Below are 18,040 nucleotides of genomic sequence, written 5' to 3'. Positions count from 1 at the left end.
AGGCTATCACAACAAACCTTATTATGGCTATCCTTAGTCTAAAGGTGAACAAGAGCGTACACACCATCATTGATGCATCCTGCATGAACACATGCACTGTCTTGTTCTTAATGAGCAAGGTCAGGCTGGCGTAAGTTTTGTTATATTTAGATGTCCTAAGCATCCTTTGGGAGGGTTGTGTTTGGTCTTCAGGGTTGATATGCTGGGTCTCTTTCCCAGAAATGTCTGGCCTAGCAATAAAGGAAACTCCAAGCGTGAAAATTGCACTTCATGGGCCCAGTGGAGTTTTCCTGCTGACATAGAATTGATTGACTAAATATAAATCACTCTGACTTGAGTGATTCTGTCCACTCAGGATGAATTGGAGAGAAATCACCAGAAGGAAATTGGCCTCTGAAGTGTGAGACATTGGATTATTGCCGTCACAAGCAATGCTTGTCAGGAACATTGCATTTTTGCCTTATTTCGGATATCATGTTATTTGGAGCAATATTGGATTTGCCGTAAGATTTAGATCTGTCTTTTTCTGGGTGTACATGTTCTATCAATTCCTTTTCCATTTTAGTAATCTGTGAATAATAGATTTATGATAGTGATGGTTTATAATGCTTGGTTTATTCTGTAACAATATCAAATTTTCATCAACTTTTTCTTAACTGCTCAACAATGTCACAGAAATCAATTAAATGATTAAATAAATATGAGTGTCAGGCCCTATCATGAGCCCTGGGGTTGAAACAGTAAATAAAACCAACAAAGCTCTAATGTAAGCCATCATGGAGCTTACCTTCTGGTATGGGAAGACAACAAACAAACGCATAGTATGTCACATGCTGATGATAGCTCTGGAGAAAAACAGAGTTAAGGAAAGAGAGCAGGATGGATACAGAGTGGTTTAGCAGTGTGCTGTTCTATATAGGATGGTCAAGAGAAGCCCTACTTTAAGGAGCCATTTGTATAGACCTACAGAGAACTGGGCTGTGAGCCGTTTGGATACTTTGGGGAATGACCTACCAGGTAGACAGAATAGCAAATGCAAAGGCCCTGAAGTGGTGGCTTGCTGGGTTTCTTCAAGGAACAATACCCAGGAGGGTGGAATGAGCAAGTGGGAGGAGAAGGAGAGGTGGCAGAGCTCAGTGCAGGTAGGGCCTAGTTTGCCTTCATGGGGATTTTGGCTCTGCATGAGAAGTGTGTCACAGAGGATTTTGGGCAGACCCAACCCAGTGGTCTTTATACTACAACAAATTGGTCATTATTTTTCCCAAACATTAATTTTAAAAGAACTTGATCTTACTAATGTGGGATATTTTAAAGTCCATATTCTCAGGGAATCTAGATGGAAATTGAAACTTAAAAGATAAAACATAGTTGGGTCAAATACTTTAAGATGTTTTCCTTAGGTTTATAAAACCTGTATTGCACCTACTATTTCATCTGTCATCTTTACTACAGATATAAAACAGATAGCAGCAGCATCAGAACTTTGGGTGAGTTACCTCACTATTTCACACAGTAAGTTTTCATTTAACTTGTTTTTATTCATCTTCTCTCTCCTTGTTTTTCATATGTGATTTGAATGTTTCGCACGTTTATTTCTAGTGGGTGAAGAAATATGTGGTACCATTGCATAACTACCTCCACCCCTGGATAATTGTCCTCCTTATTTTTAGGAAGCAGAAAATAGCCTATTGTGTTATAATTAGCCACCGGTGCCCACCCAAATATGATTACTATGGCAAGAACTTTTGCTTCTTTTTGTGTGTGTGTGTGTGTGTGAGACGGAGTCTCGCTCTGTTGCCCAGGCTGGAGTGCAGTGTTGCAATCTCAGCTCACTGCAACCTCTGCCTCCTGGGTTCAAGCAATTCTCCTGCCTCAGCCTCCCAAGTAGCTGCGATTATAGGTGTGCACCACCACGCCTGGCTAATTTTTTGTATTTTTAGTAGAAACGGGGTTTCACTGTGTTAGCCAGGATGGTCTCGAACTCCTGACCTTGTGATCCGCCTGCCTTGGCCTCCCAAAGTGCTGGGATTACAGGTATAAGCCACCGCACCTGGCCAGATCTTGATCATTTTTAAATGTCCTGAAATACTTGGGAAATCTTGAAAGATTCATATTTCTTCAAGATCTCTAAGCAGTTTTTAAAAAAATCCCTACAAGCTCAGTTAAAACTAAATGTTCTAAACAGTGAGAAGTATAAATTTTCTTTCACCTGTCTTCTAATTAGAGCCTCTTACTCATCTGTAGCACGAGTCATTTATTTTGTCTAGTACAAAGAATATTTCGAATACTCATGACTAAAGAGCTCAGGAGTTCTAGCTAAAGAAGAATCTTGAAGCATTGGAGTTTTGAAAATCTGCATAAAGATTTTGAAGATTTTTTAAAGATTCATATTATAACAGTATACCGTTGGTCTAATTTTTCTTAATCTACTAAAAACGAAATAGCACAGGTCAGATGTGACTTGCTTGCTTTCTGCTCCTGTACAATCCAGGAGTGTTAATCAAAAAGCAAAATTTGTGACATCAGTTTTATTTCCATGGCTACTGATTGTAATATTACAAACATGAGATTACTGGCTAGTTCATCATGAAGGTTAAAGAAGATTCCTCCTTGGATAGGATCTCCAAAACCAACACCAAGGGGAATATTATCAGAGCTGCTTCCAGCAGCGTGTCCTTTCAAAAATGTTCTCATTATTCTGAGAGCTTTGTTTTATTTTGTGAGGGTTTTTATCATTTGTTGTTGGTGGTTAATATTTTAATTTTATGTGCTTGTTTGTTTTATTTATTCCTCCACCCCAGGTGACCGTGTAGGAAAATGGTTATTTTAGATGTTAGAAGCCCCTCTGTTAAGAAGCAGTTTCTGCCTTCGTTTAATTCTTCTTCCACAAATAAGATTTATTTTGGAACTTCAGTCAAAAACATCTGTACTTTGTACAGGACAAACATCTGCCTTCCTACAAGAGCTGCTGGCCTTCCTGATGTTAGATAAATGCATTTTGTTCTTTGAAAGCCCCTCATAGAGAAGAGACTGTACAATAAGAGAAGCCCACTCATTCTTGAATCCAGAGCGCCTCGTTGTGGCTCAAACATGTTACTACAGAAGACCGTTTATCAATTTGCTATTTCTCTTCTCCCCAAACTTAATCAGTTTTAAAGGTAGAATATATTTTAATAAATATATTATTTGACCATGCCATATGGTCAAAGCTTCCAGGAACACATAGATATGTGTTACCAACTTGGAAGATAAACTGGGGTTGGGTACACTCAAGTTATTTTTCTAATAGTGATGGAAGACGTGTGCTGATAAGTTTTCAAAGTCTTATCTGAACCGCCTGATGACTGACAACGTGCGTTTGAGAGATTTTGCTTCTCCTGGGAAGCTTGCCCTGATTCTCCTGCTGCTTCTTCCAAAGGTTCGTTTTGTTTTTTGGGTTTTGTTTTTGTTTTTTTGCATATTTTCCTGTACTCCTTACTAAAAATTCTTCAGGGCAGAGCTGCTGTCTTACCTTTGTATTCTCAATGCACAGCACAGTGCCTGGCAAATAGCAGGTCCCCAGTAACACTAGATGAATGACAGGTGTTTTAGGACCAACTGTGGTGGATCAGAAGAATAAAATCCATAATCCTGGCCTGTGTCCTGACCATCCAAGTATATGGTTAGTCTTTATTACTGTGTTTTTTTGTATTTACTCTGTTAAAATTACCTTAAATATAGTGAGCTTTGCTTAATGAGAAACTGATGTAGCAAATAGCAGACCCTGTAATACAGCTGGTCATTTTAACACAGTGCCTTTTCTCCTCCTGACTCACTGACTTTTGGTTTGTTTTGCTAAATCATTACCTTGTAATGTCTAGTTTTTATTCAAAACAACTGCTACTAAGTACTACACCAGTAAAACGTTCTAGTGGATATTATAAATTCAAAAATATTTCTATGTACCCTTATAACAGGGAATGCTGAGTTAATGCGTTTTTCACAAAATAGAGATTCTCTAACCATTTTTTGGTTGTCCCCTTACCGTCTGTACCAAAGCAAGCTATGTAGGACACTGTTTTTTTCAAAAGGTGCATTTAAGTATGTTTTAAGAATTGAGGTATATCCCACCAAGCTCGTGTATTTATTCAAGAAGCATTTATCTCCTGTTATATGCTTGGCATTGTGCTGGAGTTCTGGAGGTGGCTAAGACAGTCCTTCCTGGAGCTCACGGGGGAGCCCAAGGAGCCCTAATATCATGTGATCTGTGCTATAACAAGGACTATAAACACAGAGGGCTGAGGCAGCACTTGGAGAGGGTTGTGCCTATGAGGTTCTTGATAAATGCTGAATAAGCTGAATTCAGGGCCTTCTCAAGGTGAGTGAATCACCTTTGTGTATTGCAAAGGAAAACTAAGAATAGTGTCTTGGATGACAGGGAAGAATAACTGTACAAATAAATGTTACATACCACACTTAAAAATGTCAACTTGGACAAGGCAAGTAAGGAACACATGGATTTTAGGTGTGGCCAGTGAAAATCAGAGACTCTGACTATAATCCCTTTCTAACCTCCCCTTCAGTGCGTAACTAACACTGTTTTCACAAAAACTCTGAAACTTTCTTTTCCAGGCTTTTATACAAGTTGTTTCTTTTGCCTGGAACAATCACTGCCACTCCATCTCCATACCAACTCCTTTCACCCTGGAGGAAGCCTCCTCTGTCTCATAGCACTCTGCACTTCCACATCATAGCGCCTACCATACCATAATGTAAACAGGTCCACCCATTTACCTCCCTGCATCCCCTGCACATGGCAAAGGGTGTATGTCTGTTTTTCTCCGGGACCCAACACATGCTCAGCACCTCAGGCTTAATAAAGATGAGTTAACTCAAATTAGTTAATTTAATTCCAAGTTGCTCTCTCATATAGCATCTCTGTATGGGACTTCAAAATACCAGATATTTTTTAGTTGACCCTTTTTATTTTATACTGAAGCCTTTTCATAAGATGGGAGGACTATAAAATCCCTCCCCTGCACGGAATCCAAGCAATAATACCTTTCCTTCAGTGGTAAACATGTGAAGCTTCTTGGAATTTAAAAAACTATTTTTTAATAAGGAGATATACAGTCTGGGATCTGCCCTTGAGCCTGATTTCTCATCTATAAATGAGGAGATGGGCCTAATGATCTCAGAGGACGTTCCAGCAAAAGTTATTCTCAGAAGCCATATAATAAATGTTATAAAACTACCTTATTACTGCCAACATTTCACATAATATTAAGATTTTGAAGAGTACTCATGAGTAGTTTTGACAGAAATTGTAGAGACTATCTCCCCACCAACCTCTAGAACATAACAGCTAAATGATTTTCGTTGACTAATTGAATGAATGAGGAAAAAAAGCCACATGGCAAAATCCCAAGTAATAAAAAAGGAAATATTCTCACAGTTGAAGGAATTTTCAAGAAGGAAAGGGAGAATTGTCTGCAAGGGTACAAGGTGACATTTATAGTGAAAGGAATTATTTAAGTTCTTCCATTATTTATTTACACAGGAAAGGGCCCATGAATTTACAGTGAAAAACTCTTCTAATAAGGGAATTAAGGCTATGAAACTAACATAGCTGTATTTACCAGTACTTGATAAATGTCATCAGCTAATGATTTGATGAGATATCTTTGTAACATTTAGTCACAAGGAGTCCTGGGAAAGTACTGTAGGTGTAAAGGAAGAATGGCCTATTCTAAGCAGATTTTGTTTCCTTGTCTCTATTAGATGGCTGTTTTTCTGGAGCTTCTAACAGTTTTCAAACACAGAGTGCAAATGTGTTTGTTGTCAGTGAGGCCGCCATTTGGAGTTGGTGCAGGAGCTCTGCAGCTCCTTTTCTATGTAACAGTGGAAGTGTGGTGGAGTTCAGTCTAGCTAGGGCCCCTTCCTGTCATAAATAAGATTACTTTCATTTCACTTGTGGAGTGTGCTATTCCTCAGAGTAATGAATTTCCTCTGTGCCTTTGAGCATATAAACATGGTTTTCATTAGCTTTCTCTCTCTTAAAAAAAAACACACACACACACACACACACAGAAAGGAGGGGAGAGGGAGAGGGAGGTAAAAGAAAGAATCTGAGCAAAATTAATAAGATGTCAATTAACTCCATAAATGCAGATGCCTTTTTTGCCGACTGGCTAGAACATGCTGATGAGCAGTACCAGAAAAGCACTGGTTCATCTCTCCTGAAATGCTAAGAAAATGAAATGGGGTAGAGAAAGGTAAAAATTTTATCCTACATGAACAAAGGAATGAAAGAAAAATAAAGAGAGAAAAGAATATTCTTTTTTGAATCTTGCTGTTAGGAGAACTATTTCAAACAGGCCATGAGAGTGGCCCCTCGGACCAAATAGCCAGCCCTGGGTTCTTCTGGAATTATGGGCACTTCACAGAGGACCAACCTATTTGACCAGGATCACAGTGCAGCCTCTGCCTCCACTTCCCTGCCTTTTGTGTGTGTGTGTGTGTGTGTGAGAGAGAGAGAGAGAGAGAGAAAGAGAGAGAGAGATTTTATGCTAATAAGGTATCCCAGCCTTTCCCTATTTCAAATTTACCCCTCTGTGACTTGTAAGCCATGCAATTCGTAGGGCTAAATATGCAGTTGTTCGATTTCACGGTTTGGAATCTCTTGTCAAGGGGTGAGTCATTATAACACGGCTGGGCTTTTCTCATTGTTGATGGTGCATACTTGAACCTGAAAACTATTTAGGATCCATTGACCCTTTGACTTCTGCCAGGATCTTTCTTGCTGTTGTTTTTGGAAATTTGTGGGGCAGGGAGTAGGGGGATGGAGTCCTCTCAAATTAACCCATAGAAGGAGTTAAGCTATTAAAAAAAAAAAAAAAAAAGCCTAAAACCTGGTTTTTCAAAATTACTTATTCTCAATGAAAAATCCCCAGATTTGTGTTCCCAGAACCTTTTCCTCTCCCCACAATCAATGTCGGTTTCAGCCTCCAATTCATAGTATATTATGTACTTGTTTATCCTCTAGAGAGGAAGAAATAATAATGTTATGAAGGCATCAAGGAATTAAATTCCAGGCCACAGGTTGTCACTGACAATTCACTGCAGACCAAACTTGTAACCCAGATAAAGAAGCTTGAAGCGTTTCACAGTGAGGTGTCTTCCAGCTTTGACCTCCTGGATAGGTGTTCTTGTTACAGTTTAGAAGTGCAGCTGGTTTCTATTTGAAATGAGAAGAATGGAGTTATTTAAGGAGCCAGTGCCTCTCATAGGTGAAATCGGCTTTGCTGAAATGTACACAACACACTACAAGGAACCTTAAAAACAAACTTCCATTTCACTTAGCTGCAGCACAGGAAATTGTTTCTGGCTTGTTTTTGTTGTGAACAGAGAGAACACTGCATATTAGAAATTCCCTGTAGTTGTTTAATATTTGCTCAGTAGTGTCCTGGTTCCTAATCAAGTCCTTCTTCTCACTAAATCCTGTCAACTCTGTCACTGTTTTGATTGGAAGCATGAATTGTAACACTGAAAAATCTCTCAGGACAGTAAACCTCTGCAGCTGTGGAAGGCTGGAGCTATTTACTGGTATTATTAAAGGAACCTGAATGACTTCTTTGGGGGGGAAAAAAAAGCAAAGATGCAGTGAAATTCATAAGGTGCACAGAGATTTAGGATGAAGGTTTTATTATGAGCACAGCCTCATAATACTATCCTCATAGAAAGAATACAGAATAGTAACAATTGTTTCATGAGTTGGCAAACATAATATTCTGATGTCTGCCTTTTTTAGGGGGAAAATAAAGTCCAAATGTAAAATATGAAATCAGACATAGCTAGTGCTTTGGAACAGTGTTTGAACTGGATGCTTTTTCAAGGTACGCTATAGAAACAAATGTCACCTTTATTTCCTGAAGGCATTTTGAAGAGTTTGCCGTTGGTCTTTTAAGGCATGAATTTTCTGGAACAAAAGAGGTGCAGAAATTTTAAATTGTCACCATTCTAAGGACATAACTGATTACACTACCTGCTGCTATGTATTTGGGATCTGAGGAACGTCCTGAGAGTGTAAAGACATATGTTGGAGAGGCTGGACCGCGCCCCCCAGCCCGGCCCCAAAATGGGAAAAGAAGCAAAAGGAATGAAAACTTTCACTTGAGAGAGGTGACCAATACCATACCTAAGATGTTTCTCTTCCAAAATGTTTCTTTGTTCACTTATTCATCCTTTATTCAATGATTTATTCGTTTCAGAAAAGTTTATTGAGTATCTACTGTGAGCCCAGAACTGTGCCAGGTACTGGGAGGTCTAGTTTAAAGGCAGCTTGCCCACAAGGACAGGGATTTCCGCCAAGAATGTTCTGTCCTCATTGCTATAGTGTAAGAAGCAGCTGGATTCCCAAGTCAGCCTTGACATTCAGCAGAACTTAGCGTGTCTGCCTCTAAAAGCACAAACCTGTTTGCTAGACTGTTCTTGTCATTGCCAATGTATTTACTATTGTGTAAAAGTCACGTTTTGAATATAAATTTTTGTCGTATCTTGAAGAAGCAGTACAAAGCCCTAAGAAACAGTTCATAGAAAATAGTTTTAAGTAATTCGAAGAAAGTACCTGTAAATGTAGAGTAATTGCGAAGCTGTCAGGAATAAACAAGATCTTGTAAAGCTATAGAAATGTGTTGAATATGTTTTCTTTGAGGCCAGAGCAAGATAATAACTCGGGAAGAAACTTCTAAAATATCAACTCAGCAAAACAAATGCAAGACTTTTGAGGACTCAGTTATCATGTGGGAGGCTGGATGCTGTGGAGGATATGAGGTAGAATAAGATGGTCTCTAATCTAATCTCAGAGAGGAAATGAAACAAGCCCTTGACTTAGAAGGTGATGTGCTCCAAGCTCTCAGTGCAGCCCGAGAAAGTATAGTGAGCACAGAGCTCCGGTAGGCCAGCAGGCCAGTGAAATGCAAGGGGTTTTGGGAAAGCTACAGGAAACCAGACTGAAGGTGTTTACAGGGCCATCCATGTTCCCACCTGGAATGTGTGTGCTGCTTCCAAACTTGTTCCTCCAGAAAGATAGCTTCAAATTGGACAGGGTTCTGAGAAATGCAATTAAAATGATAAAGGGAAGCAGGGGGTGATAGTGGGAGAGCTCAGATGCCATAATAGTGAAAAAACAAGAAGGTTAGGATCCTTCAGTCTGTAGAAATGGAGGTTGAGACTATGTGTGTCTATAAATGGAGGTTATATATAAGGTCAGCACTAAGTCTCAGAATTACGAGAACGAAGGGAAAGCCATAATCATTTGTGAAGACTTTGACTCCAGTTTCTTCTTTTGTAATCCAGATTCCAGAATATGTTCAGCGGCACATCTGTCCTACAAGGTGCTTGCTAAAAAAAGGTATTCTTTAGCCAAGTAAGTTTGAAAATCTCTGCATACCATGTGTTCTTCCAGTAGATTCTCCCTTTACATTTGATATTAAAAGATCTCAAAAGGTTGTTCTTAAGGAAAACTTATTTAACTTTGTGGTTCTCAACCAGTATTTACCAAACTCATTTGACCATGTAATCCTTTGTTTATTTAGTGCCTATGAGGACTTTGGAAAATGCTTCTGGGAAGATAGGACTCTAAGATTATTAAGGTCCCTGGAAGGAAGTTAATCCATGACAGAGGAAGCGCTACCAACACTGTGAAATTTATTACTTCTAGAGCCAATCAATACTGGACGAAAATAATAAAGGGGCTGATAGTGAGAGAGGACTAATAGTTTGCAAGTAGTAGGAATTTACAGTCATTTATGGAAGATGGCAAGTTCGTCAAAGGTAGTTGGGAGGTGTGGCTGACCATCCAAAGGAAAGCCATTAGAGTCCCCACAGTGCTTTTAGAGGGGTTGTTAAGACCCAGATCTCCACATCAGGCTTTAGATTGTTCTGTCAGGATCACACATCTCTTCTGCACCATCAAAAGAGAAAAGTACATAGAAGAAACTCATTTAAGTTTTGGCTGAATCAAGCAGATCGTTCTGCATGATAGTGAGATTATAGACAATTGGAAAGTACTTCTATTGAACTTTGAGGCCAGTCACATTCTATTAAGTTTCAGTTCATGCCCATTAAAATAATAGCAGCTGGATTCTATAGCTTTTCTCTGAAAACCTGGCTAAGCATTCAAGTTCAACAGTTTTGTAGATTTGTGCTTTTTTTTCTCTAGAAAGCTTTCATTATTTTGAAGAGCGTTTTATACATGCACCTCTCCATTCCCTGACCCTGGCTGACTTTTTACCCTTTCTCTTCCCCACCTCACTGAGCAAGTTTACATAGCTACAGTGTCCTTCCAACATTGTAAAGAGTTTTGTTGTTGTTGTTATTTATTGGACGTTAGGGAGAGCAAATGAATATGATAAGTTTAAAAACTAAGTCTTAGAATAGTTTTCTTTCTCTCAAGCACATTTTAGTTTCTTCTCCTTTTGCTTCATCTTTCCCATTGTGCTCATTATTCTGCCTTCTCCATGCTTCTCCATGATGCTCTGTGCCAGGGTGGGGAGGGAGAGGGGAAGGGGGGGTGTCATTCTACATGGACTGCACCAGTAGGCTCTCTTGCCCTATGGTTTCTGGATGGGATTGGCTAATGCAGAGGCATCAGCTGTAGGTTTTAAGAGGAGAATGAGGCCACCCTCTCCATGGAGCTGTTTTCTCTGTATTCTAGTGCTTCCTGCATGGGCTCCTTGGGCCTACGCATGACCCTGGACTACTAGCCCTCCACTCGTTAGTTTCCTTTAACCTTGCCCACATGTTTGTACATAGTCCTTTTATTCAACTCTCCTCAAATTACCTAGTTTGAGTGAGTTATCTGTTTCCTGCAGAGACTTTGACTGATGTACCCACCTTCCTGTAACCCTCTCCTTTTTGCTCTCCAGCCAGGAACATCATTCATTAGAGCCCAGCTCATGTTCATCTTCTTAAGGAAGCCTCTCTGTTCAGCATGAAGCTCTTCTTGAGATCTCCTAGCTCTTACAGTCTGCCACACTCATAAGCACCTAAAAATGCTCTCTCATGTACTGACTTAAATGCACTAAGACCAATGCTCCTCATGCTTATAAATAATGTTTCATGGATATGTAGGAAGGATGGCTAGTGAGTAGAGGTTGCCAATTGGCAGCCTGACTTTAGGCAGACAATTAGCAGTTATCAAACTTTGATAGAGTACTTCCAGGTGCTGTTAAGCCACACTTAGAGTTGGATACTATTATTACCTCCATTTTACAGGTACAGATGCTGACACATAGAGAAGTGAGGTAGATTGCCCCAGAACATACCTATAATAAGTGCTTGAGCTAGGATTTGAACCTAGACAGTCTAGCTCCAGAATCCATGCTCTTAACTCTGTACTAAGCTACCTCTCACAGTGCTTTTAAATTTTCAAAGCAACAATTATCAGTAACAAGTCTATCCTTCCTCCCTCCCTCCCTCCCTCCCTCCCTCCCTCCCTTCCTTCCTTCCTTCCTTCTTTCCTTCCTTTCCTTCTTTCTCTCTTTCTTTTCTCTCTCTCTCTCTCTCCCTCTCTCTCTCTCTCTCTCTCTCTCTCTCCCTCTCCCTCTCTCCCTCTCTCTCCTCTCAACAAGGTCTTACTCTGTTGCCAAGGCTGCAGTGCAGTGGCACAATCATGGCTCACTGTAACCTTAAACTCCCGGGCTCAAGCAATCCTCCCCTCAGCCTTCTGAGTGGCTGGGACTACAGGCACGTACCACCATGCCCAGCTGATTTTTAATTTTTTTTTAGAGACAGGGTCTCATTACGTTGCCCAGGTTGGTCTCAAACTCCAGACCTCAGGCAGTCCTCCCACTTCGGCCTCCCAAAGTGCTAGGATTATAGGCGTGAGCCACCGTGCCCAGCCCATATTTCATTTTAAAACCTGCATTTCTAGTGTCTCTTGAAAAAATGGAAGATCTGGCTGTTGGGATCCATAGGCCACAGCAACAGTTGGCCAGAGCAAGCAGGAGCTGCCCTGTTCAGGTGGGGTCCATGCCCTTCACTTGTGAGGGCCTCTACCCAGCCTGTTCCTGAATCCATGCTCCTTCCTGACTTCCAGAGGCCTTGAGTCTGGGATCTCTGCATGAAAATGAGTTTTACATGTGGTCTTTGGAAATCACTTGCATGCCTTTAGTCATTTCCCACATGAACTTCTGTTTCCCCAGCTAGATTAGGTTTAGGGAGGACAGTCTATATTTTAAGCTTGCCTCAAAACCTAAAACAGAACAGGTTATACTCAATAAAAAACCTGTGAATTTGAAGAAAACAACCTGCTTCAGTTAACTAAGTAAGCTATTAATAACTTAGGTAACTCAGCAAGGACAGGAGAGGCATGTTTATTCTTGGACTGGAGTTTATCCCTTAAAGCAGTTTGCTTCTAAAGCCAAACAAGTAAAATCTCTGGGTATTCTTGAAGATAGCTGCTATTGGCAATATTGCCCCTATTTTTGATGAAAGGCGAATATCTACTTCACCTCCAGGCCCAATGGTGTGAAGTTTGTAGGAGAGAAAACAACCACTGCTTCAGAGAGCTATGGTAGAGGGGAGAGCCAATTTTAGGTGGAGCAAGGTGAAAGGAAGTTTCAAAGAAGTTGAGAACATAGAGGCTTTTGCTGGTGATGGACATGAGTCCAGAAGGCACAGTGATTGGGGGCTGGGCAAGGGGAAATGGAGGGAGAGCAGGAATTTTCAGAGCCCATCTTGGGAACAGGAGTGATGAGGAATGACTGGGTCCCTCTGGTGACAGATGTACAAAGGGATGCATGACATGCTTTTGATGGTCCTGATGGTTCCCAAAGCAGATTGCAGTCATGAGGCAGTGAGGGTTGAAGGAGCGTCAGGAGTCGGGGAGGGAGAGGTTTGGCCAGGAACACACACAGTGCTGGGTCCCCCTCCTTCCTCTTTTCTCCTGGAGTGTGGAGTGGAGTGCATAACACTCAGTAGGGCTTATTAAAGGGCAAGTTCTCCAGTTAGTACAATGAAGTATGTGGCAGAAAACCCTGTTGGTGAATGTCGGCTTTACTTTTGTGAATGCACACTCAAGGTAGAAGGTTTCAGTAGAATCTAGATGTTATTCTAAAGCACAACTATGAAGCATGCTTCAGTCAGGATAAGAGCATATAATCCTTTTTTTAAATGTAATACTCTTTGTGTCTCTCTGATTGAATGTTTTATTGTTCCATCTTATTATAGCTTGACCCTTCTTTAAGGGGCCAAAGGACTTCAGGAAATAGATGCAAATTTAAGAAAATGAATCATCTTTCCCAAAACAGGAGTCTGTTTTAATGGAATAATCAGCCTTACTTATCGATGAAGGAACATGAAGATCTTATAGTGCTTACAGCTGTCTCTTTAATTTAATGTATGAGGAGAGGGAAACCTCACAAACTTCTCCTTATGAAAAAGTGGAAGTGGTTGAGGGTGCAGAATTGGCCAGAACTTGGGGCTCTTGTTCTTTGCTGAGCAGGGTCAAATGCCTGACCTCCGGGAGGCAAGCCAGGGGCTTTCCTATCAGCAGAGATCAGCAGTGGTGGGTTACTGCTGTTTACTCTCCTTGCAACTTTATGGAAAAGTACAGAATTAGCAGCTCTCTCCAACATCTATTACCTTGGTCTCATGGACTTGGGGAGTGGAGTCATGACCAAAGTTAAGAGTAGAAATCCTGGCCGGGCACAGTGGCTCACACCTGTAATCCCAACACTTTGAGGGGGCCAAAGACGAGTGGATCACTTGAGGTCAGGAGTTCGAGACCAGCCTGGCTAACATAGTGAAACCCCGTCTCTACTAAAAATACAAAAATTATCCGGATGTGGTGGCACATGCCTGTAGTCCCAGCTACTGGGGAGGCTGAGGCAGGAGAATTACTAAACCCAGGAGGCAGAGGTGGAAGTGAGCCAAGATCACGCCACTGGTGTCACTTCAGCCTGAGCGACAGAGCGAGACTCTGTCTTAAAATAAAGAATAGAAATTTCTGTCTGTCCTGAGAGCAGTGAGGTTTCATGGGTGCTGGGGGAATGGATACTTTACCCCTAAAAATACCCCCAACCATAAGCAGTTTCCCTGACTGTCTTCCTTACTTCCAGTGGTGCACCATCTGTCTTCAGGGTGTCAGGGTGGGGATTCACCACAGGAAGTTTCTAGAATGCCTCCGACCGTATTTGCAAGTGTTGAACCCTCTCACCACCTAACCTCCATTGGCCCATCTGTCCCCAGCCACACTTGGCACATAATCAATGCTTTCAAATTCTAACTCTACCACTTACTACTTAGCTGTGTGACCTTGGGCAAGCTACTTAACATCTACGTGCCTTAGTTCCTTCCTCTGTCAAAAGGAATCATAATAGTACCTATCTTGTAGGGTCATTGTAGGAATTAAATGTAGTAAATGCCGGGCATGTGTAAGGGCTATCTGAATGTTAGCTATGGGACTTATTCTGATTACAATGGCAGTGGGTGTCTGGCCAGCCACCAGATCACCTTTATGCAAGATAATTACCTTTCTATTTCTCTGGTAAGCAGACATGGGTAATTGAAGTTGACCTACCATGTCCTCCGTGTGGCCCACATTTACGTTCCTTTCCATGCTCTCCAATCTTCTGGTTTTCCTGTAGCTGAGATACCCACTGGATTGGGCAGCTCTAGACTACAGCTATTCTGAATCAGGCCTCAGAGGTCTCCATCACTGACCACATATCGTGTGCATGTTCTTATTCAGTTTCCTTTTGTGGCTAAGGAATGGACACCTAAGTACTGCTTCTTTTTATAGAAGGCTCTGACTAGCATATTTGCTGATTAAAAGGAAGGCCTCACAGAGCATTCATTTTGAAGAGCATAGTAATACTTAAGAACCAGGACTATTTCAGACATTTATTGCAAACTGTTTATTTCCTAAAATAAGGAGGGCATGCTTTTTGTTTACATCCTCCTAATGAGAATTCCTCAGGGGTTTGAAAACTGTTATTGTGCCCTTTTCGTCTTCCCCTACATTTCAGCCTACCCATCCAAGAAGCATCTGACCAGTGCTATCATGAAGGTTGTGATTTAACTTTGAAAGGAATCCTTTTCTACTGTCCTCCTTAGAGTTGTAGCAAGCTGCCTTCATTGACCAAATGTACATCATAACTTATCATAGTTCAAATCCTATCACCTGTTTCTGTCTCCTCTGGGAGATATTCCTTGACCCCATCCCATTAAGTTCTTCTCCCTCTGTGCAATTTCTGTACAGGGACACAACTTTATTGTTGTCCTTATCACTCTACTCTAACATTTAATGACAGTTTAATACTGCTTTCTATGTGCCAGGCACAGTGGTAGATTCTAAAAATCTAACTGCAAATAAAACTTGAAGACAGTGGTATCTCGTAGAACATTCTGTGAGGATGGAAATGTCCTATATCTGCATTACCCAGTATGATAGCTGCTACCCATAGATGGCTATTGAGCACTTGAAATGTGGCTAGTGCAACAGAGGAACCAAATGTGTAATTTTATTACTTCATATGTACATGTAAATAGCTACATGTGGCTACTGATTACTGTATTGAACAGCACAGCTCTAAAACGTAAGTCTGATGAGGACAGAGATCCGTGTCTTTTGTTTATCACTCTACTCCCAGGGCCAAGAACAGTGCCTGCCATATGGCATGAATGAAAGAAAGAAAAGAAGGACGAAAGGAAGGGAGAGAGGGAAAAGAGAGAGATGGGTGATCTGGTTTGGATCTGTGTCCCCACCCAAACCTCATGTTGAATTGTAATCCCGTGTTGGTGGTGGGGCCCAATGGGAGGGGACTGGATCATGGGGGCAGAGTTCTTGTGAATGGGTTAGCACCATCCCCTCAGTGCTGTTCTGCTGATAGTGAGCGAGTGAATTGTCATGAGATCTGGTTATTTAAAAGTGTGTAGCACCTCCCACCTCTCTCTCTTCTTCCTACTCCCACCATGTAAGATATCTGCTCCCGTTTTGCCTTCCGCCATGAGTAAAAGCTCCCTGAGGTCTCCCTAGAAGCAGATTCCACCATGCTTCCTGTACAGCCTGTGGAACCATGAGCCAATTAAACCTCTTTTCCTTATAAATTGTCCAGGCTCAGATATTCCTTTATAGCAGTGTGAGAACAGACTGGTACAACAGGTCTCTGACCTTGTAGAGCTTAAATGTAGTAGAGACCCATTTGTTTATATATTTGCTTATAGATCTTTAAGTTCCAGAAGACAGGGATTGTCTTTTCTTTGCCCATATCCTTATACCCATTGCCTAAAACTGTATCAAGGCTCATAGGAGGGGCTCAAGAAATGTTAGTTGAGTTGAAACCAATGCTGAATAAATGCAAGATTGGTAGTGGTGGGGATAGTAATCCTAGTAGTGGTTGTTGTTAATAGGAAGAAAACTTACCCTTCCCCAGTGATATTAAGCAAGGCTGCTGTTGTTCATAGTAGGAAGAAAGATACCCCACCCAGTGCTGTATATCAGACAAGCAATGTTGGTGCCGTCTGGTGGTGGTATCCTCTCCAGGCCTTCTAAGTCTATCAAGCAAATCTGCCTTCTCTGACATATCCTCACCTCTTGCTCCCTGTTTGGCTTGGAAATCCAGCTACTTACCACTAAAATCCTTTATAAAGAGAAAGGGAGATAGTCATGATTATTTATTATGCCACCTTTAAGCCCTGTCCCCATCATCCCCTTATTCGTGTGTTTCTCACAAGGGGCCTCTCTTGGTGCCTTTCTCTGCTCTGATGCTTCCTTTTTGAACCGTATCATTCTGACCTTCCTCTTCCCTTCTCCTTGACAACCATGACCAAGCTGTCAGATTATTACAGGACATCCAATAATTATTGAATAGTTATTTATTATTCAGTAAACCACAAGATCACTTAATAGCAAATAGTGGAAAAAATGTTGGCTTTGTACGTGGACACCTTGGATTCAAGTCTTAGCTTTACAGCTTACTACTTAGATTAATTTGGGCCAATTATGTAAACTCTCAAACCCTCAGTGTCCTCATCTGTAAAATGGCATAATAATGCATCTCTTATAAATTTACTCTGAGGATTAAGTGAGACATTGTAGGTAAAGTATCTAGCACAATGCTTGGTGTGCAATAAATGTAAGCTTTCTTCTCTCCTTAAATATACCAACATATACATATTCCCAAACATATACATAGGAATTTAACGTCAATTTTGAGTGTTCAAGTTTTAATCACACTTCACCGTTTTGTATTGTCCTATACACCTATTTCACTGTTAAAAGATTAAACTACTAAAATAATAATCTTACTATCTACCTTTCATGTGGAAAACTAGTTTGTTTTAGTTTATTAATAAAGCTAAGCATTGTCGCCATGCAACATAGTTGGAAATTCCTTTTACAAGTAATAAAAAGCCATGTTTTTGTATTTTTTAAATTACAAATCAAGCAAACCACCTAATCAAGCCAAATAAACAAAGAGAAACAAAATACTGGAAAAACAGTTCGGTAAAAGGCAAATCAGTAACGCTAAAAGGGAAGTACTGTACCTCCAATGTAAATTCTTCAGTGTAATTAGGGTTAATTCCCGTGCTGCTGTGTGCTCTCCTGACTGTCCTGGTAGAAAGAACAACAATTTACAAACGTAAATTCTCACTGTAGAACCTCCCTTTGTGGGAGACATCTTCAGTTCTCTGGAGCCACTGTATGCTCCCTCCCCAAAGACAACATGAGCACTAAACAGCCCTTCAGCAAACTTAGTTCTAAGGAGGTAGCTGCACTGTGCTACATAACTGCAGTTAGCTTTGATTACTGTATTGCAAAGTTATATTTGAGAAGTATCAAAATTGCTAGTGTTGTTTTACAAAGAAAGCAGCCAGTGTCATAGTGTTTACTCTAATCTAATTCATTGTTCTTGATTAATGACTTCTATGCTAGAAGAATGCTAGATCCTTCTAGAGCAGGGGTCCCCAAACCCCCGGGTCATGGACTGGTATAGGCCTGTGGCCTCTTAGGAACCAGGCCGTATACCAGGAAGTGAGTGGTAGGCAAAGACCC

At 40.9% G+C, this 18,040-nt stretch overlaps 1 protein-coding gene across 4 annotated transcripts in view, besides 2 other annotated features; it reads left to right on the top strand.

Moving 5' to 3' along the window:
* The window catches only part of SCFD2 (sec1 family domain containing 2), a 493,080-nt gene that overhangs the window by 347,179 nt on the left and 127,861 nt on the right, over positions 1–18,040 (top strand). Inside the window, exons 6-7 of one of the 4 annotated variants that reach the window (XM_017007787.3) lie at positions 1,453–1,487; positions 3,290–18,040. The exon at positions 3,290–18,040 is cut by the window's right edge and continues 24,719 nt beyond it. The exons of 1 other annotated variant lie outside the window; for it this stretch is intronic. In XM_017007787.3, coding sequence (XP_016863276.1) covers positions 1,453–1,487; positions 3,290–3,292 — 38 coding nt within the window. In that variant the 3' untranslated portion in view covers positions 3,293–18,040. Of the gene's footprint in view, positions 1–1,452 lie in introns of all 4 variants that reach the window. 2 more of the 4 variants (XM_047449646.1, XM_017007786.3) reach the window with 2 other exon arrangements.
* Positions 8,935–9,174: an enhancer, noted in NCBI's record as "active region_21559". NCBI's record gives its function as "activates an Ori minimal core promoter by ATAC-STARR-seq in GM12878 lymphoblastoid cells {active_cell/tissue: GM12878}" and the evidence as "EXISTENCE:reporter gene assay evidence [ECO:0000049][PMID:35858748]".
* Positions 14,691–14,780: a silencer, noted in NCBI's record as "silent region_15429". NCBI's record gives its function as "represses an Ori minimal core promoter by ATAC-STARR-seq in GM12878 lymphoblastoid cells {active_cell/tissue: GM12878}" and the evidence as "EXISTENCE:reporter gene assay evidence [ECO:0000049][PMID:35858748]".

Source organism: Homo sapiens, chromosome 4 (assembly GCF_000001405.40).
Source record: "Homo sapiens chromosome 4, GRCh38.p14 Primary Assembly".
Classification (NCBI taxonomy): Eukaryota; Metazoa; Chordata; class Mammalia; order Primates; family Hominidae; genus Homo; species Homo sapiens.
This window is presented reverse-complemented; position numbering and strand designations above follow the sequence as displayed.